General features: G+C 43.3%; 4 annotated features.

Moving 5' to 3' along the window:
* Window positions 984–1,033: an enhancer, noted in NCBI's record as "active region_6564". NCBI's record gives its function as "activates an Ori minimal core promoter by ATAC-STARR-seq in GM12878 lymphoblastoid cells {active_cell/tissue: GM12878}" and the evidence as "EXISTENCE:reporter gene assay evidence [ECO:0000049][PMID:35858748]".
* Window positions 1,634–1,853: an enhancer, noted in NCBI's record as "active region_6565". NCBI's record gives its function as "activates an Ori minimal core promoter by ATAC-STARR-seq in GM12878 lymphoblastoid cells {active_cell/tissue: GM12878}" and the evidence as "EXISTENCE:reporter gene assay evidence [ECO:0000049][PMID:35858748]".
* Window positions 2,014–2,093: an enhancer, noted in NCBI's record as "active region_6566". NCBI's record gives its function as "activates an Ori minimal core promoter by ATAC-STARR-seq in GM12878 lymphoblastoid cells {active_cell/tissue: GM12878}" and the evidence as "EXISTENCE:reporter gene assay evidence [ECO:0000049][PMID:35858748]".
* Window positions 7,918–8,212: an enhancer, noted in NCBI's record as "tiled region #14765; HepG2 Activating DNase unmatched - State 4:PromP, and K562 Activating DNase unmatched - State 8:EnhW". NCBI's record gives its function as "activates a minimal TATA promoter and a strong SV40 promoter by Sharpr-MPRA in HepG2 and K562 cells {active_cell/tissue: HepG2 | K562}" and the evidence as "EXISTENCE:reporter gene assay evidence [ECO:0000049][PMID:27701403]".

Consider the following 22,645-nt stretch of genomic DNA (forward strand, 5'->3'; position numbering starts at 1 on the left):
CCTGTTCCAGGCTAAACAGAAGAGCGTTACAAGGCTGTGCATAATTACTTGCTTGATCAACAGCACAGATAATGAGTCCTTCAGGCCTTGGGAAGAGGGCTCTGGAGGCCCTGACTGAGAGGTGGGCCAGAGGCAAGGCAGGAGGGGGACAGGCAGCTGGGGGAGGATGGACGGCATGTGTCAGGAGGGGAGAAAGGAGCATGATGTTGGAGTAATCCCTTTGCTAAACTGAGGAACTGGAGAGAGGAGGAGTGGGGGATGAGGGTGGGAAGCCGTAGGGGGGCCAGGTGCAGGTGGCCTTGAGTGCAGGGCTGAGTGTGGACTTGATCTGGTGAAGGCAGTGGGCGAGCCTGCAGAGGTGGGAGGGCAGGTGAATGGTATGATGAAGGGGGTGTTTTTAAGGACCAGAAGTCTGGCAGCAGTGCGCAGAATAAACTCGAAGCATTGATGGAGACCCGTTGGAGGCTTCTGCAAGGAACCAGGCTGACGTAAGGTCACAGTGCTGGGGTGTTAAGAGAAAAGGTGAAAATGAACAGCGAGAAATAAGAGATTTTGAAGAAAGAATGGAGATAATTGATTGTGTATACAGCAAAGGGGAGAAATCACCAGAGGTGATGTTGATTTTGAGCATGGATGGCAGGGAGAAGATGGCAGCCCTGCAGCCCTTAGGTGGAGGGGGGGGTGCGCCAGTGGCCAGGGGAGGAGCTCCTTTTGGAGATGGCGTTTGTGAAGACAATGGGCTCTTAACTGGGAAATGTCCAGTGGGCTGGAAGTCAGAGGAAATAACTCAAGGGATGAAAGAGATCTTGCAGATCTTACAGGGAGATCACAGAAAGGGAGAAAGAGAAGTAGGGCCAGGGGACACCCACGTTTAGGAGTAGGAGCCGCTGGCAAGGCTGTGGAAGGAATATTCACACCCCAAGGACAGACCAACCTGGGCACGAAGTGTCTCTGCCTGACCTTGGCCAAGTTGTTTATTCTGTCTGCACCTCAGTTTTCTCATCTATAAAATGGCACTAACAGCACTTGCATTACTTTCTGTGAGGACGATGTGAAATGTCTGAAGCATCTCACACACTGCACAGTGTCTGGTGCAGGGCAAGCACCAGCTGTTCTTCCTTTCCACACTTCCCTTCCTGCCACACCCTCTATGTCCTTTCATGGCAGCCACCTGAACACAGTTTCTCTCCTTTTAAATTGTTGTTGTTTTTCTTCTTACCCCTCCTCCTCTTCATCTCCTTCTTCTTTTTCTAGAAGAAACACACGGTCTTGTTTGCATGACCAATTATTTGAACTGGAAATACCCTCCATTATGAAGGAAGGAAATAATAAATTTTTTTCCTAAGGGCCTCTTAGCTGAAGCTGGCTATTACCTCACTGGATCCTTCCAGCAGCCCTGCAGGGTTTGGGAAGGCAGGTATTATCAGGCCTTTTTCCCCCCTACAGCTGAAGAAATGGAAGAATGGTTGTAAAAAGTTTTATTATTCTGTTGAGAACCACATGTCTAATCAGTACTCTCTAGCTCAGAGCTTTCTAAACTTCTATTTGTAGCCCTTTATTTTTGGAAATAATTTTACTCGGTAGTCAAATAAAATAGATATAGGCAACCCAGTTCTGGTTTCAGTGCAGTGGGGAGGTTCTGAGTCACGACTGCTTGGCTGTGCTCCCACTCCCAGCCCCAGGCCAGGCTGAGAAGTGGGGCTTTCCTTGTGGGGTAACCCAGCACCCAGAGCCTCTCCCTCTACACTAAGCTTCATTCTTTTCCTTTTCAGCCACAAACTTCCTGACTGTGAAAGCCAGGCCCCAGCCCAAGAAGGCTTCACAGACCCCTAGGTGTGCCCTCTGTGTGAGCCAAGTGTTGACCCTGGCGATGATGCCAACAGCCCGACTCTGCCCAGCTTTCAGCCGCATGAGTGTGAACCAGCTGAGCGGCACCAGCTCAGGGCAAGGCAGAAGGCCAGGTGCACTGTCTCTAGGCAGGCAGGATGAACAGCAGCACCTGATGTCACAGCGGCCGGGGAACCACCCTGGTTGGGGCATGCTAACCCACCCTGCTAATATGCTTTGGGTCCTAATTTCCTTTTTGAATGAGTTTCTTAAAAAAAACAACTTGTTAGGTGAAAAGACAGTTTGTGGTTTTTAGAATGATGATTTGAGTAAGGCAAGTATTGGTAAAATGCTCTGCAGATAGTTATCGCATACGCTAATGCTTACATAAGATAAACTCCTGGCAATGGAATTAGATGAAAGTATATATACATTAAGTTTTAAAATATACACTATTTAAGGCAGATGAATAGACATAAAAAATAAAAGCAGCTTAAAAAAATAACACTGTTAACACAAGCAGAATGCTGCTTTATACAACCTTGATCTTGCCATCCCTTCCCTTCTACCTAGAGGACACCAGGATCCAGAATTTGGTGTTTATCATTCCTATACAGTGCTTTTAATGTTTTAACATTTTACGTAAATTATATTTTACTGCATGTATTCTTCTGAAACTTGCATCTTTTATTATTGTGATTCAGGGTGTTGTTCTGTTGCCCATGCTGGGTAGTGGTGTGATCATGGCTCACCATAACCTCTAACTCCTGGGCTCGAACTGCTACCTCAGCCTCCCGAGTAGGTAGGACTACAGGCTTGTGCCACCATGCCTGGCTAATGAAAACAATTTTTTTTTTTTTTTGGATACAGAGTCTCACTGTGTTGCCCAGGCTGGAGTGTAGTGGCGTGATCTCGGCTCACTACAACCTTTGCTGCCCAGGTTCAAGTGATTCTCCTGCCTCAGCCTCCTGAGTAGCTGGGATTACAGGTGCCTGCCACCGTGCCTGGCTAATTTTAATTTTTTGGTGGTTTTTAGTAGAGACAGGGTTTCATCATCTTGGCCAAGCTGGTCTTGAACTCCTGACCTCGTGATCCACCCACCTTGGCCTCCCAAAGTGCTGGGATTACAGGCGTGAGCCACTGTGCCTGGCGAAAACACATTTTTTGTGGCAACTGAGTCTCATTATGTTGCGCAGGCTGGTCTTGAACTTCGGGCCTCAAGCAATCCTCCTGCCTCAGCCTCCCGGGTAGCTGGGATTACAGGCATGCGCCACTGTGCCTGGCTGAAACTTGCATCGTCTTTTCCTCAGTATTATATTTCTGAGATTCTTCCATGTTGATACCTTTTTAAAGGAAATTTATTTTCACTGTATAACTTCAAATTGTATGAATATACTATAATTATGTATCCATTTTCTGGTTAATGGACATTAAAGTTGTACAGTGTTTTTTTCCTGTTACAAACAGTGCTTCTATGAACATTCTTGTACACATCATCTCTTGATTGTGTATGTGTGGGGGTTTCTCTAGGACATTTGCTTAGGAGTGGAATTACTGACTGGTTCATAGATTATGAGAATCTTCAATGAGATTGGAAGTATTCTCCAGGCCGGGTGCGGTGGCTCACACCTGTAATCCCAGCACTTTGGGAGGCTGAGGTGGGCAGATCACATGAGGATCAGGAGTTCGAGACAAGCCTGCCCAACATGGTGAAACCCTGTCTCTACTAAAAAAATACAAAAATTGGCTGGGCGCAGTGGTTCACGCCTGTAATCCCAGCACTTTGGGAGGCCGAGGCGGGCAGATCACGAGGTCAGGAGATTGACACCATCCTGGCTAACACGGTGAAACCCCTTCTCTACTAAAAATACAAAAAAATTAGCCGGGCGTGGTGGCGGGTGCCTGTACTCCCAGCTACTCGGGAGGCTGAGGCAGGAGAATGGCAAGAACCCGGGAGGCAGAGCTCGCAGTGAGCCGAGATCATGCCACTGCACTCTGGCCTGGGCGACAGAGCGAGACTCCATCTCAAAAAAAAAAAAAAAAAAAAAAAATGAGCTGGATGTGGCAGTGTGAGCCCGTAATCCCAGCTACCAGCTACTCCAGAGGCTGAAGCAGGAGAATTGCTTGAACCCAGGAGATGGAGGTGCAGTGAGCCGAGACTGCACCACTGCCCTCCAGCCTGGGTGACAGAGTGAGACTCTCTCAAAAAAAGAAAAAAAAAAAAGGAAAAAAAAAAAAAGTCTTTCCAAAGTGGTTATTGTAATTTACACTCTTATCCACAGTCAGTTACTCCACCTCCTCACCATCACTTGCTGTTGTCAAACTTTTAATTTTTGTGGAATTGATTGGTGTGAAATGCTTTCTTGTTGTGGTTTACATTTCTCTGATTACTAGTGAGGTTAGGCATCTTTTCACATATTTTATTTTTTTGCTATACGTATCTCTTCTTATGATAATTACCTTTGCCCATTTTCTTCTTTTGGAGTGCTTGTCCTTTCCATATTGATTATAGAATTCCATTAAATATTATGCTTACTAGTCTGTTATCAGTTAAATGTTTTGCAAATATCTTTCCCATCTGTTGATTCTTTTCACTTTTTTTTTTCTTGAGACGGGGTCTCAGTCTGCTGCCCAGGCTGTAGCACAATGGTGCGATCACAGCTCAGTGCAGCCTCGAACTCTTGGGCTCAGGTGATCCTCCTGCCTTGAGCTGGGAATACAGGCATACACCACCATGCTTGGCTATCTTTTCACTTTTAAAACGAGTGGACTTTTGATGAACAGAAGTTGATGTAATATAGTTGAGTTTTGTATTTAAATTTTTTATATTGTTAATTGCTCAGCTTGTACTTCTGTCAATAGTGTATAAGAGTGCCTGGTTTTCCACACTGCTGCCAACACTGGGCCTGAATGATTTTAATTTTTGTTAATCTGATAGGTGAAAATGGTGTCTCACTGTTTTGATCTGTCTTAATTATGGGTAAGCTTGAGCATATTTTCACAGGCTACTGGCCTTTTACATTTCTTTTTCTGTTTTCTTCATTTTTCTATTGAGTAGTTTGCTTTTTCCTAATTGATTTGTGAAGGCTTTCTGAATAGTAAAGAAATATACCCTGTTTCTGCTGTGTGTGTGGCTACATGCTGCATGTGTATCTCCTCACTGCAAGCCATTGATGATGGAACTAGAAAAACCTGAGCCTCTGTACCACATTTGCCCTCTTTAGCCCTTGAACACTAGCTGTGTTGCACAAGAATGTAAAAAGCTGCAATTGGAGGCTTTGTGGAAGTGGCAGGAGGAGCAATGTAGTTCTGTGTAAGTAGGAGCAATAGGGTAGGGAGTGTGTACACTGTGGAAGCCCATCTTCTATTAAAGGGTAAAACAAACAGAGACGGGAGAGAAAGTTTGAGTTGGAGCAATAGGAATGTGGCCTGCATTCTCATTTCTTAAGTGAAACGTTACTAATGCCCTGGTGAGGAATTCTGAAGTGCCTTGTGTAGCTTGGCTGCCCTTGGCTGGTGGTGAGAGTGGTGGAATGGAATAGTTCTGAGGGTCTGGCCTGTACCAGGCATGCAGCCCTGATGGAGGCTCAAGAAAGCTGACTTGCTCCAGGTCACAGGGCTGTCAGTGGCCAAGCTTGGATTCAACTCTGGGACTAGCTCGCTCTTCAGCCCTGTTGTCTGCAGCATACTAATGGTTCTACCATGATTAGTCTCAATTAGGGGAAGGCTTGGCTTTTATAAGGAGATTTGTCAGGAAAGCCTCATAACAAAAGAGTCAAATTAGAACATATTTTAAATAGATTGCCATCTCAACAGTGAAATTTCATATTTCTATGTTTTAATGTCAATAATTGGCTTAAATAGTCCCTCTTGGAGAACACAGGTAAATTAACAGTAATTATAATTGGGCTCTATTGAAAAAGAGCAATAGACTTAATAGTCCTGTTCATGCCTGAAAGAATGTTCAATGGAGAAACCAGCCAAGATTCCATTTTTCCCTGTCTTGCATTCAGTACAATTTGGATGACATTAAGCTTTCTCTTCACTCATTTACTCATCCAACAACTGCTTACCACATTCACATTCTGTGCCATTTTGTTAAGAGCTGAAAGAGTGGTGAACAGACCTAGGGCCTGCCCTCACAGAGCCTACAGTCTAGTGAGAGGGATAATCAATAAACAAGTAAACAAACAAAAAACAGCTGTTGTAAGTGCTGTGAGGGACATACACACGTGCTGCGACAGAGAATAATATGGGATTGACTTTAGTGGGCAGGTCAGGGAAGGTCACACACATTCTGTGGGTGATTGGGTACTAACATTTATTTTGGAGTTAAAAATACCTCCTACAGGTCTTTTGCTGCAGTGATGCCAGCGGGAGCATCAGGAGCTTGGGCTCAGAGCAGGACGCCTCGGATTGTTTTAAGAAAATGGCAGACGAACTGGGCATGGAGGAAATCGCTAGCTTTCATAAGGCCAAGCTAAGGAAAATGGGGATGCAGAACACCCTGCCAACCAACCCAAGAGACTGCTGAGCAGGAGAAGCGGTGTGAGACTTCCTAAGAGCCTGGAGGATTCCCGACCCCATCATCTTCCAGACTCCAGCTGCCATGTGGAAGAAGCTGATTATAGCAGGGTTTTTTTTTTTTTGCCATGCCATGAGGTGTGTTTTATTTTCAATAATCATACAATAATTTTCTATAATGGAAAATCATACAAATAATTTTCTATAATGAAAATAATACAAATAATTTTCTGTAATGAAAATTAATACAAATAATTTTGTATTAATCATACAAATAATTTTCATTAAAGAACATTATTTGCACGATTACTGAAAATAAAAAACACCTCATGACATGGCCAAAAAAACCCCCAAAAATCTTCCTATAATCAGCTTTGATATAAACAGTTTTCTTTTAACTGAGGAGAAAGCACCAGTATACAAAGAAGAAAAGCAGGGTGTGCACTTTTTTTCTTCTGGGGTCTACAAAATAAAAATAGCCATGAGGCTCCCTGGATAGTTTTTCTTGCTGATTGCAAACACCAGATACCCCGAGTGCAGTCTTTTCATGCAATCTGGATGTGCATCCTGGTTTTTCACGGAAATTTCTTCCTTGGGGTAAAAGATGACCACCCATATTTAATGGGAGGGCCCAAAAGCATTTAAGGGGAATATAAATTCCAGAGGTCTATCCAGAACTAACATGAAAAGCTCCTCTCTTGAATTTGCTGCCCATCAAGGCAAAGCATCTTCCTTGAAGCAGGTTTGAAGGATTTGCTTCCTCATCTCGCCTCCTCTTTTCGCACCTGCCAGTCCACAAGGGCTTGGGTGACAGCACCTGGCCTACACACTTTTCTAGGCACAGCAAAACTGTCCCCTACACGGATTTTCTTTAGTTCACAAACACATCTCCTCTCATTTTGGTTGTTTGAGCCACGGTGAGAATGCTGGGCTTTCAGGAATATAATTTGATGATGAAGGGATTCACCCTCTCTGCCCAGGACTTTTTTTTTTTTTTTTTTTTTTAAGATGAAGTCTTGCTTTGTCGCCCAGGCTGGAGTGCAGTGGCACCATCTTGGCTCACTGCAAACTCCGCCTCCCCGGTTCAAGCGATTCTCCTGCCTCAGCCTCCTGAGTAGCTGGGATTACAGGCGCCCACCACCACGCCCAGCTAATTTGTTTTGTATTTTTAGTAGAGATGGGGTTTCACCATGTTGACCAGGCTGGTTTGGAACTCCTGACCTCAAGTGATCCACCCGCCTTGGCCTTCCAAAGTGTTGAGATTACAGGCGTGAGCCACCGCGCCCGGCCTGTCCAGGACTTTTTGAAGGGGTTTTGTTTGTTTTGCTTTTAGGTATGTCTATTTGTTATTTTCTTAATAAAAACACCACTAGCGGCCAGGTGCGGTGGCTAACGCCTGCACTCCAGCCTGGGTGACAGAGACCCTGTCACGAAAAAAAAAAAAAATCTAAAGAAAGCCTCTCTTTCTAGCCAATGTTTAAAAGCTCTCAGTGTTGCTCCTCTCTCTTCCTACATTTCCTCTTCCTAAGCAAAGTAACATAAAAACTCTAGACAATTGGCAGGTATTTGTGTGTTCACCTGTGGGAGAGAGTTCACTTTTCAGGGAGCGGGAATAAAGGAAAACGATTGTCGAGTGCACGTGATTTAAATTAAGTCCTGGCCTCCATCAAAGTGGTGTTGGGAACCATCTGGTGGCCAGAAAGGTTTTAACACAGGCCAGGGCTCCCTGCTGTCCTCTCGTGGCAAGAGGTGGTATGACGCCCTAGGTAGGAATCCTTGCCCTGCGTTGTTCAGGATTACAGAAAAGATACAGATCAGGAAGGAAGGCAGTTAAAGTCAACGTTTACTTAATGCCCTAAAGCAGATGGGGCTCCGGGAGGAGCCAGGACAGCACCGACGCTGGCATGGTATCTGCAGTTACTGCCTGCTGCCCACAGGAGATTGACAAAAACCCCAAATATGACAATCCCAATTCATAATTTTGGGTGGAGCGGGGTGGAGTTTTATGACATATTCTCAATTAAAAATATCTTTATCCTGTTTTTGAATCATAGAATTTTAGAGCTGGAAAGGATCTTAGAAATGAGTCAATAAAATTTTATTGAGTTTTTACTATGTGCCTCTGTACTACGTGCTGTTAGGGACTTAAGGATGAATTAGATATGAATAAGCCCTGTCCTCAAAGAGTTAAAGGTGTAGCAGAAAAGTCATACAATAAAGCGAGTAAATGCCATGTAATGTGGTAGGTGCAATAACATTGGGAGAGCATGCGATACTGTGAGGACAGATGTCAGAATGGCCCCCTCTACCTGAGGTAAGTGAAGGCTTAAAAGAGAGGAGCTAGCACCTGACTTGTGTCTCAGAGAATGAGGAGTTTTCCAGGTAGGTGGGTAAGGGTGGGGATCAGAGAGGGAGGCCCAGGCAGTTGAGAAGCACACGCAGGCAGGTGGGACATTGCATTCGGCTGTAGCATATGGTATGAGGTAGGTAGCAGATGCTGCATAAATCCTTGCCGAATGAATGCATCTATGAATGATGATGGTGGGAATGGTGAGAGAGGAGGATGAAGAGGTTATGGGGGGTGGGGTGCAGGTCATAACACTAAGGAATTTGAACGTCATGCTAGAAGAGGTGAGGGAGGGTGTGGGTGGAGGGCCTTTGAAGGATTTAAGCAGAGGAGTGACATGATCATATTTATATTTTAAAAACAATTTTGGCAGCAGCGAGAAGGAGGCCGATAACTAATTAGTAGGCTACTGAAATAACCCAGTGAGTGATGATGAAATCCTAAGGCGGAGAAATGGGAACATTGAGGAAAGCATGGATTTGAGTACTGTTGGGAATACAGAATCGGTAGAGGCAATGAAAGAGAGAGAAGGGTCTAGGATGGCTGCCACCCAGAGTTTTGGCATGGGGTCTGCGTGGAGCAGATTTTGACAGGAAGGTAAAGAACATAGTGGTGGTGTTTGTGGCACCTCCAGGTCGATGTCTAGAGGGTATCTGAATACATGGGTCTGGGTTTAGGATCACAAAACTGAATGAAGGAAACCTGGAGAGTGTGTGGAGTGTGTGACCAGTGGGGAAAGTGGAGGATGAACTCTGGTGACCAAAGGATGGGTGGGGAGGGGCAGAAGAGGAGCTAGGAGAGGAGGAGAACCGAAGGGGAAACTGGCCTGGGGAGGTGTCCTTAAAGGGTCAGCCAACACTGGGCGAGAGTCCACCTAACAGGATCAGAAGCCTTGGCCAGATGGAATTGCTCTTGTGTTTTCTGCACCATGTGTTTGCTTATTTATTTGTTCAATGCTTGTCTTCATATTTAGTAAAAGGTTTTTCTTGTAACAGCACCCCTCTCTGCCCCAGGTTTCTGTTCCGTAGATGGAGGCTGGTCACAGTTAGAGTTGGAGTGGGCTCCCTGCCTCCGGGCCTCTCCCTTGCAACCCCTCTCCCACTGTGATCTCACTGGCTTGGCTCACATGTAGTTCTGATCACTTTTCCCCGTCACAATTGTTCATTCTCACTTTCTTAGTCTCCTTCTCTCAGGGCTCCCCACTGCCTGCAGAGTAGCTCTCAAGCCTTGCATTCAGAGCCCCTAAAATCTGATCCCAACTTTTTCTTCCTGCTTGAGCTCGGAATTCCTCCACTCACTTCCCCCAAGCCAGAGCCTCAGGCACACTGGAGCTCACTTCCCCTACCTCTGTGTCATCACCCGAATTCCTTCCATCCTTTAAGGTCAAGATCAAATAGTCCTTCTTTCAACCTTCCCTGATTCTTTTAGCCCAAACCATTTTAAAAAATCACTTTTCTGAACTTCTACAGCACTTAACATATTCTCTATACTTTTGTAGTAATTTAGAATCCATTTTATTTTCTCTAACCCTGTTCAGGTAAAAGGGTCTTGTATTACATTCCTTGTTTTCTCTCAAGAGCCTAATAAAATGTCCAGCACATATACAGGTACTCAATGAATATTAAAAAACAATTGAGTCAGGTGCAGTGGCTCATGCCTGTAATCTCAGCAGTTTGGGAGGCCAAGGTGGGAAGATCCTTGACGCCAGGAGTTTGAGACCAGCCTGGACAATATAGGGAGACCTGGTCTCCACAAAAAATTTAAAAAATTAGCCAGGTATGGTGGCATGTGCCTGTAGTCCCAGCTACTCTGGAGGCTGAGGTGGGAGGATTGCTTGAGCCCAGGAGGTTGACATTGTTGTGAACTATAATTGCTCCACTAGACTCCAGCCTGAGTAACAGAGCAAGAGCCTGTCTCAAAAAGTAAAAAAATCGATTACCGAGAAATCCTTAGGAAATAATTTAAATGGGAGAAGCAGCAATTAATATGTTTTTCTAAACTAGAAATAAAGGGTTGAAGCAGAAACATAATATGAAGAGGCACTGGGAGGAATCGGGAGGTAGGAGGCAGAGTCTGAGGCAGAGCTTGGGTACCTGCAGAACTGCAGAAAAGGACTAAGAGGTAGATTCTGGGGCTACCAAAGGGCAAGACACCCAGGATTGGGTCTGAAGATGGTTAATATGTGGGTCAAACCTAAAGCAACCCTCTGTTAAGGCACGATGATATATAAGTCGTGGCAAGCAAATGTTGAGTACTTAACTATTTATGGAATTTACCTGGTTTGAGTGTAGTCTGTGTTCCCCATCTGCATCCACCATAGTAATTGAAAGCCTTAGGTTATATAAATTTAGCACCTACATGTCAAGCGCGGCGATGGGTACTTCTCATCCATTCTTTCTGAACCTTAATCTTTCAAGATGGGTACTGTTATTATCCAGTTTCTATAGGTGGGAATATGAAGTTCAGTGAGCTTCAATATCTCACCCAGGGCCACAGAGCTAATAAGCGATATAGTGTGTCAACTGACTTCTCACCCTTGTGGCTCCCGCGGCTGAGGTAGGCTGGATGGGGATGGGGCTAGGAATGACGTATGAGTGGGCTGAGGCCTGTGGATGCTGTGGGGAACTGTGATGAGGTGAGGCAGGGCTGATCCAGGCTTCGTGGGGCTGAAGCTTTTACAATTTGGCAGGAGGGTGCTTTAATAAAAAACATGCTAAATTAGGTACAAAAGTACCTATTTAGGTACTTATTTAGGATGAGACAATAAATCACAAACAAATTATTGATGCTTTGGGGAACCAGAATCCTTTTTCCTAATACCCTTTTAGGCAATTTACCAAAATTGCTCATGCAGAAATGCTTTGTGATTGCAGCCTGGCTTCCCCTCTCCACCTAGACCCCTTCACAGCTCCCAGCAACTTTCAACACTCCTAGGGGCCTTGAAAGTGAGGGGCCGTGAAGCTGAAGTTTCATTAGCTTCACTGTGAGTCCACACTTGGAGGTGACTGAGGAATGTGGCAGAGATCAGAAATGGGAGAGAAGGGTTGAGGGGAGGATGTGCATTGCACACACCACCTGATGATGAACAATGAAAGGGCTGGGGAGAGAGGGAGAAAAGAACTGATGTCGGTTTTCAGACCTTATTGAAAAATGGTCCCACATCAAAACAGCCGCATGACAATGTGATGTCCCTCTTTCCACTGTGGCAAGCGCCAGTAGGTGAGCAAATATTGTGCTGAAGAGGCCTGCCTTCCTTGTCTGTGGTGCCAAGGAGGTGTTGGCTTAATGATGGGCACACCTGAAACTTTGAGTTTTAAAAATGAAACGGTCTATCAGCAACAAATTTTTTTCTTTTTATTGCAACCACGCATAGCAGAAATAGTTGCATGTGTGTGCATGTATGTGTGTGTGTGTGTGTGAGAGAGACAGAGAGAGAGAGAAAGATCGTCTATACTGGTGAATATAAGTATTCTCAATATCTTTTTACATTTGACCATTTCTCTAAAAAATTAGGATACTTTGAGGAATTAGCTAGGAAGTCTATAACAATTTCCTTTATAAAGAAGACAGTTAAAGAATGTCTAGGCCAAGAAGCCTGGGCCGTCTCCCTGTAATGCAACCTCCTTCCTTGTTTGTCTGTGAGCTTCATCACAGGCAGCTCCGCAGTGCTCTCCTGGAGACCCGTGTGTGGAGCCAGGGGCTGTGGGTCTGGCACAGAAGGTGAGTATCCTAGGAGGGAAAGGGATGAACGATAGTCCCCAAGATAAAATGAAGTAAGTGGGGTCAATTGCTGCTGCTAAGAAGAAAAAAAGAGGAGGATGGAGGTTAAGTAGAAGTATTTAATTAGTATTGGACACACTTTAATTGCAATTCACGGAAATTTAGTAACAAATTCCTTTTGCAGTTTAATACATTTTGCAAATTTTTTTTTTTTTTGCACTAAGATTATTATGGAAGGGTTACTGCTGAACAGTCACTAGCAATTTAGAGTAAATTGTTCTTTGGATCCCTCCCAGGCCATCACTGAGGAACTTTATTTTTAACTGGGAGGAAAGGTGGAGAGATGGTGGTCACAGCCTGGCCTGAGGGGCAGGAGGAGTGGGTGCGACTGGGGCCCAAGTTCATTGAATCTTTAGGTGAGGGGCTTGGGTGATAGTTCAATAATTAGTAATTAAAAGAAGACTTAGGAAGCTTTTGAGGACAAACATTGCCTCATGATGTTTGCTGAGGGATTCCCATTATGGGGGCTAGTGATCGGCCTCACCCACTCTGTGCTTGGAACAGAGCAAATGGCACAAACATGGGTAGAAAGGTGTGATAGGCAGAATAGTGGCCCCCCAAAGATGTCCAAGCCCTAATCCCTGGAATCTGTGAAAATGTTAAATCACATGGTAAAAGAAATTTTGTGGGCTAGGCATAGTGGCTCACTCCTGTAATCCCAGCACTTTGGGAGGCTGAGGCAGGTGGATCACTTGAGGCCAAGAGTTTGAGATAAGCCTGGCCAACATGGTGAAACCCCGTCTCTATAAAAAATACAAAAATTAGCCCGGCTTGATGGTGCACATCTCTATTCTCAGCTACTCAGGAAGTTGAAGCAGGAGAATCGCTTGAACCTGGGAGGCAGAGGTTGCAGTGAACTGAGATCATACCACTGCACACCAGCCTGGGTGACAGAGGGAGACTCAGTCTCAAAAAAAAAAAAAAAAAAAAAGAGACTTTGCAGAGGGAATTAAGATCATGAACTGAAAATAGGAAGATTATCCTAGATTATCCAGATGGGCGTAATGTGAATCATAAGAGCCTTTAAAAGTGGAGAGAAAGGCAGAAGAATGAGTTAGCGAGGTGAGACAGAAGAAGAGGCAGGAGAGACTCGAAGTGTGGGAAATACTTAAAGTCTGGCTTTGAAGATGGAGGAAGGGGCCAGGGGCCACGAACGTGGCAGCCTCGAGAAGCTAGGGGCAGCCAACGACAGTGAGCAAGGACATGGGACCTCAGTCTTACAACCATGAGGAGGTGAATTCTGCCTGAAACCCGAAGGAGCAGGGAAATGGACTCTCCCTTAGAACCTCAGGAAGGAAAAGCCACCCTGCTGACACCTTAAATTTAGCCTGATGAGACCATGAGACCACGTCAGACTTCTGACCTATAGAACTGTAAGATAACACATTTGTTTCAAGTTGCTAAATTTGTGGTACTTTCTGCAGCAATAGAAAACGAATACAAAAGGTGGAACACGACTTAATTCCTTATATTCATGGTCCTTCACTTTTTGAGGGTCATAGGCCCCTTTGAGAACCTGGCGAAAGCCAGCGATCTTCTATCTAGAAAAATTCACATCCGCACAAAACTTTGAATACAGCTTTGAGAGATTCATGAATTCACCAGAGCACACCTCATGGACCCAGGGTGAAAACATTTGCAGATGATAAAAAGGCAAAAGGTATGTTCAGAAGAGACAAGCGGGTAAAATGAGGCTTCCTAGGGATAGCATTGTTATCTCCCACCAAAGACTCTCATAGTACTCAGGAGAACACTTAGCTGGGTTGCACTGAACAGATTCAATTTTAATAAAATGAATTTCTAGACACTGAAGCTGAAAGGCAACCATCTCAGCCTGATCTTTTCCTGATGGACTCCTTGGAATGAGGCCACATTGTTGAGTAGAACAGTCAGTCTTTATGAGATAGCTACTGATATCTACTGATTTGAGAAAATCACTCTGAAAAATTAAAATGTAAAAATTACTAAGAAGGGGTATTGATTTTATTCCCCTGAAGAGTATGCAGAGAAAAAGAAATCATAGATAGCATTTTTTAGTAAATTAAATTTACTATAAGTTTGTGACAAGAACTGTTTTGGGGATTATTGATGTTATATAGATCTCCTATTTGTTTAGAGCAGTGCTGTCCAATAGAAATATAATGTGAACCCCTTAGGTAATTCTAGTAGTCACGTTAAGAAAAGTAAAAATAAGAGAAATTAATTTTTTTTTTTGAGATGGAATCTCACTCTTGTCGCCCAGGCTGGAGTGCAGTGGCGAGATCTTGGCTCACTGCAACCTCCGCCTCCTGGGTTCAAGCGATTCTCGTGCCTCAGGCTCCCCAGTAGCCTGGGGAGCTACAGGCGTGTGCCACCACGCCCAGCAAATTTTTGTATTTTAATAGAGACGGGGTTTCACCATGTTGGCCAGGCTGGTCTTGAACTCCTGACCTCATGTGATCCACCCGCCTTGGCCTCCCAAAGTGTTGGGATTACAGGAGTGAGCCACCGCGCCTGGCCAAAATTAATTTTAATAGTGTACTTTATTTAATCTGTCTAAAATAGTGTCATTTAAAACATGTAATCAACATGTCAGTGAAGTAGATTCCATTTTTTCAAAGTAAATATTTGGTATCTAGTGTGTAGTTTGCACTTACAGCACATCTCAGTTATGATTATCCATATTTTATGAGCTTAGTAGTCACGCGTGGCTAAGGGTGACCATATTAGCGCAGGTTTAGAGAGCAATGAAGTATTGAAATGAAAATCTTGAGGCTTAAACCTTATTTAATAACAACTTACAGAGTATGTGTATTATATATGTGTGTGTATTATGTAAAATCTCACTAAAATCTCAGAAATCATCACTAAGTTACCACTCTGAAGCTATTTTCACATATATGTATAGATTATATACACATACATATATGTATATAATACACACTCACATATATACATATATATATATAAAAGTAGCCTCAGGAGCCAAAGTACTTATGTAGAAAAATGCTTGTCATTTGCTACTCCCTTTGATCATATACACAGTGACAGTAGTGGCAATAGTGTGTGAAGAAAGAAAAAATTAAAAATCTAAAGATTATTTTTTTAGCAGATTTTAACTTAAGCAGGTTGACCTAAAGCAATTTATTTGAACTTCTCTGTACATAATAGGCCTTTAATATGGATGTTTATTTTTTGACATTAAAAACATAATTCTAGTATTGGAAAAGGCCTTACAAATCATTTATTTTTTTAAGTGAGGAAGTACAGATTAGAAGATGGAAAGAAAAGAAAGTATAAAGTTACCTTTTCAGCCTTCCTTATATGGTGTTTTTTTACATAGGAACCTGAAGTTTCTTCTCTCCTTCAATCACCATTACCACTACCAGTTACTGCTTACTGAGCTAATGCTATGGACAGGAGACAGGGAAATACTGGGTAGAAGAGGGCAGTTCCCTGGCAAAGGCCCCACTCTCAAGCCCAGATACCCATTGCCCTAAATGAGAACAGGCATTCCTGTTTTTGCACCCAAAACGTTGCCTTTTGGTCTGCCACGCCTCCCGTCCTGTACCCATATAAACCCCAAACGCCAGGCTCCAGAAGCAGACAAGGAGATGAGCAGATGAATGACAGAGAAGGAGAGAAGAGAAGGAGCATTTGAACGCCAAGAGAAGTTCGGCTGGGGTTGAATGGAGAGCAGATTGGCTGCTGGATGGCCAAACTCCAGGGGAAGATCATCTTCCCACCCCATCCCCCTTTCAGTTCCCCATCCATGCCTCTGAGCGCCATCTCCACCATTCAATAAAACCCCTGCATTCATCCTTCAAGTCCATGTGTGACCTGATTCTTCCGGGACACTGGACAAGAGCTCAGGATGCAGAAAGCTGCCACACTGGCCCTCTGCCCTTGCAAAAAGGCAGAGGGTCCACTGAGCTGGTTAACACTAGCAAGGCTAAAAGCGCACACTGTAACACATGCCTGTTGGGTTCCAAGAGTCACAGGCTCCCAACCCTGGATGCTGCCATGGGGCCGGAGCCCAGCACCCTGGCTCCTTCACATGTCCATCTGTGTGCTCCCCATCCTGTAAGGGGTTTGATCAGTGGCAGCGACCTAACAGATGAGCCACACCCCTGTCACATGTCCTGCAAGGGGGGTCAGGGAACTCTCCTATTTCACTACTAATATGTCAGACACTAAAACCATCTTTATTAATCCTGCAACAACTCTGCAAGGTAGATCTTTTAAAAAATTTTTATTTTCATTTCAATTTTTTTTGGGGTACAGATGGCTTTTGGTTATATGGGTAAGTTCTTTAGTGGTGATATCTGAGATTTTAGTGTACCCATCACTTGAGCAGTGTACACCATACCCAATGTATAGTCTTTTATCTCTCACCCCTCCCAACCTTCTCCCCACAAGTCCCCAAAGTCTTCCCACGAATTTTCTTATGCCTTTGCGTCCTCACAGCCTAGCTCCCACTTATGAGAACCTATGATATTTGGTTTTCCATTCCTGAGTTACTTCACTTAGAATAATGACCTCCAGCTCCATCCAAGTTGCTGCAAAATACATCATTTCATTCCTGCAAGGTAAATCTTATTATCTCTATTTAACAGATGAAGACACAGACTTAGAGGGGCTATATAACATGCCCAAGCTCATAAAGATCATCAAAGCAGAGCCAAAAGTCAAACGTATTGTTTTTATCCAAAGCCTGTGCTGTTTCCAGGATAACTATGCAGCCTCCATCAGGCTGGGGAAGGAGAGGACCCAGATGGGCTTGTTGAAGTACCAGTGGGTAATTGGTGAAGTGGCCAAGGGTAGGAGGAGTGCAGGGTAAGAAAGAAAGAGCAAGGGAAGGAAGTTGAGGTGTGGCATAAGCAGGGAAAGCTGTTGGATGCAGGGTTGGAGTTAGTGGGGGTGGTTTCCTCCACCCTCCACAGGTCGATGGCTTGAAGGCTAGCCAGGCAGGTGGACTTTGAGGAAGAAGACATGAGTGAGGTGCTTGAGTCCCTTAAAGAGGAGTTGTGGCTCCTGGCTGGTTCTACAATATTGCTCATTGACAGATGGGCCTTTTCCTGCGTGGGATTCTGAGGATGGTAAGAACAAAGTGAGGGTTAAAGGCGTGTGCCCACTCTAGTCAGTCAACAGCTTTGAGCTTCTTGAGATTTGCAATGTGCATTCAGTCAGTTCCAAGCAACCTTTGATGTTAGCTGTCTTCTCCTGGCACATAGTTCTTGATAATGTTTAGTTTCACATCCATAGGTTTAGCTTTTTCCCTGTTCCTTGGTGTCAGAGTTTCAAAACAGTGAAAATTTTTTCTTACATGATGAAAATATGTGAATAAAACAGACACATTTTGCAAGAAAGACAAACACAACACAATACCAGTCTCAAGACACTGACAAGCATAAGGGGTATGTGGGTATCTATTTGAGTGGTTATCCCCAGGGCATAATATTTTCACTATATCCTACTGCTGGGGTGGCAGCCAGACTGACTACATGATAGGGGCTGGGTGCTTGCCTTCTTCTAGGTCCCATACTGTTTCAAAGTATAGTTGAAAAAAAAAAAAAAGAAGGAAAAATTCCAAATAGAGAATCGACATGGTTCTAAATCCACATAATATAAACTCATGGATGCAAGCTGCTCATGATTCCACAGACCTTTACCTAAAATTCTTTTGGAAAATGCATCAATTTTAGGATATATAGATAGACATGATGATTACAGTTGTATTTTTTTAAAAGTGAGTATTACCAGTAGTTTAAAAAACACTGTGGCCGGGCACAGTGGCTTACACCTGTAATCCCAGCAATTTGGGAGGCTGAGGTGGGCTGATCACAAGAGGTTGGGAGTTCGAGACCAGCCTGGCTAACATGGTGAAACCCCGTCTCTACTAAAAATACAAAAATTAGCTGGGTGTGGTGGTGGGTGCCTGTAACCCCAGCTACTCAGGAGGCTGAAGCAGGAGAATGGCTTGAACCTGGCAGGCAGAGGTTGCAGTGAGCCGAGATCGTGCCACTGCACTCCAGCCTGGGCGACAGAGCGAGACTCTGTCTCAAGAAAGAAAGAAAGAAAGAAACAAACAAACAAACAAAAAAACCCACTGTGGGCTGGGTGCAGTGTCTCACGTCTATAAACCAGCATTTTGGGAGGCTGAGGCATACGGATTGCTTGAGCTCAGGAGTTTGATACCAGCCAGGGCAACATAGTAAGACACTGTCTCTACAATTTTTTTTTTTATATCATTCTGGTGTGTGGTAGCTTATACCTGTAGTCCCACCTACTTCGGGGGCTGAGATGGGAGGATCGCTTGAGACATGGAGGTTGACATTGCAGCGAGCTATAATTGCACCACTGCACTCCAGCCTGGGCAACAGAGCAAGAACCTGTCTCAAAAGAAAAAGAACCACTCCCTCCACAAAAAAACAAACCAAAAACACAACACTGTGACCTTTGTCAGGTAGGCTATGGAAAAACAGGCATTCTCATAGATTGCTGGTACTAAATGCAAAATGACATAATCCCCATAGTTTGGCAACATCTATGAAAACTACATATAAGTTTACCCTTTGACCCAGTGATCTTACTTCTTTTTGTTGTTGTTGCTTTTTGAGATGGAGTCTTACTCTGTTGCCCAGGCTGGAGTGCAGTGGTGCGATCTCAGCTCACTGCAACCTCCGCCTCCTGAGTTCAAGCCATTCTCCTGCCTCAGCCTCCTGAGTAGCTGGGATTACAGTCGTGTGCCACCATGCCTGGTTAATTTTTGTATTTTTAGTAGGACCGAGTTTCATCATGTTGTCCAGGCTGGTCTCGAACTCCTTACCTCAAGTGATCTGCTTGCCTCAGCCTCCCAAAGTGCTGGAAATTCAGGCATGAGCCACTATGCTCAGCCTCAATGATCTCACTTCTAAGAATTTAACCTGAAGAAACATCTTCAACAATATAAAATGGCACGTGTAAGATTTTATTTGCAGTATTATTTGTAATTGCAAAATGGAAATAACCTAAATGTGTATACACGAGAATACAGAGTGAATAAATTATATTATATTACATACACATAATAGCATATTAGGCAGCTTTTAAGGAGTGATTTTCAGGCTTTGCTGCAAGTGAAAAAAGCAAAGAGCAAAAGAGAATAATAGTATGCCACTACCATAGATAAGAAATAGGGGGACACAATACACATATATCTACTTCCTTTTAAGAAAAAGACATATTAGAAGGACAAAACAGAAAGGACTGAAATTTGTTACTTGCAGGGGGAGAGTGGGAACAGAATGGAAGTAATACGGAGAGAGAATGACACATTTCCAATCCAGTGTATTATTTTGACTTTTGGAATCATGTTAATGCTTTACATGTTTATAAAATAATCAACAATTTTGGGGAAGAAGTCCTAAAATTGGATACAAATAGAAACAAAGAAACTGAACTGTACATAAAATGGAGAATCACACAGAAGGAAAAAGAAACCCAACTTACTCAAGTAACATTTGGACAAAGTATCTTGACTATATATCCTGAGTTTAAAAACAAAAGAGCTGTGAGAAATTTTGAGCTCTACTTGACAGCTTTATTGTTGGTGGTGGCACAGGTGTAGCAGTTCTGAAATTATTTTTTGTATCTTATAGTACTGAGAAAATAATTACATTAATAATTGTTGGAAGCCAGAGTTCTTGCTTAGAGGAGGGAGATTCCAATACAGAATGGGGAAAGGTAAGGAAGAACCTTGTGGTGGTGCTGGATTGGCATGGACTCATGCTTTTTTTTCTCTCTCTCTTTTTAAAACAAACAAAACAAAACAAAACAACATCCTAGCTATGTTTGCTGAAAGAGCAAGTTTCAATGAAGAGATTTGGTTTCCAAATCTTGTTTTCAAAAAATCATTCTCTGCTATAAGGAACCAGAGCTTCTTGAAGATGGGACTGTTTTCATGGCTAGAGGAGGGAAAATGCAACATGGGCCTGAAAAACTTGCTAGGCCAGAAAGTAAAGAAGTGCTAAAAAAGCATGAAATTATGTCAAAATGACACAGAAGCCAGTTGATGGGCTTTCCCTGGCTAAACCTGGGATAATTTGAGCATCAAAATAAGTGGTGACATTAATGGATTACATCCCACTGAATAAAATAGAATCCGTGAATTCATACTGACACTAAAAAACAAGCAAGCAAGCAAGCAAATGCAGATAGGGAAGGGAGAAGGAGGGCTTTTTAGAGCAGGGTGTCAACTAATGTAGAAGTAATGATGAGTTAGAAAGTCACCATTTATGCAATTACTGTGGAGTACTGTTAAGTATGCAACAGCAACGAAAGGGGCCCCAGGTGGGGAAGAACAGTGAAAAATTGTTCTGAGAGATGGCTAATCAAACAACCCAAGGGCACAACGACCTTGTGGCACAAACACCTGTTCCGCAAGTAGCTCCCTCCAGCATGGCCCTATAAAACTTCCTTCCAGCCCTTGCCTCTTTGCAGGAGCTTTGCACACAGAACTCCTTCTCTGCTGTGCTGCCTGTTGCATCCTTGCAAGGCAATTGTCATATCTTAATCTTCCTTTCTTTACCTACAATTGTCTTGGTAAATTCCTTTACAGCCTGCGCCACTAGCCCTAGATAGTCACACCTGCAACAATTACAGTAGTAATAATTTATTCAGGCAAGAATTGTCAGTGGATGCTGGAAGTTGGTAGAAAATTTATTGGAGAAGCGGATATTTACACAGTCCCAAAGTATATTCCTACATATTATTTATTAAATACAAGGAGAAAAAATGAGGACAAATCTAGTGGAAACCACTTTAATCAAGTGATCAAGGTCAAAAACATCCTCCCAAATAATACAAACTGACTGTAGGTGTGTCCTGATGTGATGAACATAAATTGCTTATGTAGTGTCTCTGCCAAAAATGTATAACTTTAATTGAATCACAGGGAAACAATGGGGACAAAACAATGGGCCTGTATTCTTCAAAAATGTCACTGTCATGAAAGACAAAGCAAGGCCAAAAACTGTTCCAGATTAAAAGAGACTGAAGAGACATGACAACTACATGAAATATGTGATTTTAGATTGTAAAAAAAGATTTGTATAAAGGATAATATTGGGAAAACTGGGGAAATTTGAAGATAGAATGTATATTAAATGACTTCCAAAGTTGTTTAAGCATTTATTATCATATATAACAATAATCTAGAGATAAGACATGTCCTCAGTGACCTCATTACCTGTGGGCCCAGGTGTCTCCCATCTTTCTGCTCTGCCATCCTCAGCAGGTTGGCTTTTCCACTGAGGCTGGTTTCTCATATTCTCCTAAGTACATACATGCTGATGTACTTAGGAGAGAAGGGTCATAATCTCTGCAATAAGCCTCAAAAGGTTCAGCAAAAACAAAATAAATACATATAATTCACATATGTACTAAAATATCTTCCTGAAAAGTATATAAAACATGGTATATAAAATATACTATAACATTTTCTGTGAAGTTTTTAGGCCAGATTCCATATTTGCCCGTCAAATGGACTGTCTTTAGTTCCTTTAGTTTGTTATAGGGGTAGCTAAAAAAGTAAAATGCAGCGTAATGCATCTATAATGCCTTTCAGGCTAAAGGTGACAAGCTTCATCTCTTTTTTAAAGAAAGCAGGATATTTCCCAAGGTACTAACTTTTCCAGATTGCTCTAATCAAACTCATTTGGTTATAAGCCACTCAAGCTAGTTCAAACAAAGGGTGATAATTGTACTAAGGGGGACCAATTTTCCTGGCATTCGACAAATAGGAGACATACTGGGATTAGGCATCAGACAGACTAGAGCTGGAGAGTGGCTCTGGATTTAAGCAGAAATATGTGGGCCTCAGCTCCCTGCTTTGGCATTAGTGTGAATAATGATACCTTGCATATTTCTGTGTCCAATGGCAGGCCTAGGGATTGGTTACCCTTGAGCTAGGTATCTGATTTGATCAGTTGTGATGCTCTTGCTAAAAGTAACAAAAAGCCCAATCCAAAGTTATTTAAGCATTTATTATCATATATAACAACAATCTAGAGATAGAGCATGTCTTCAGTGACCTCATTACCTGGGGGCCCAGGTGTCTCCCATCTTTCTGCTCTGCCATCCTCAGCAGGTTGGCTTTTCCACTGAGGCTGGTTTCTTTCATGATTCCAAGTTGGCTGTTATAGCTTC

The sequence above is a fragment of the Homo sapiens genome, chromosome 12 (assembly GCF_000001405.40).
Source record: "Homo sapiens chromosome 12, GRCh38.p14 Primary Assembly".
Taxonomy (NCBI): Eukaryota; Metazoa; Chordata; class Mammalia; order Primates; family Hominidae; genus Homo; species Homo sapiens.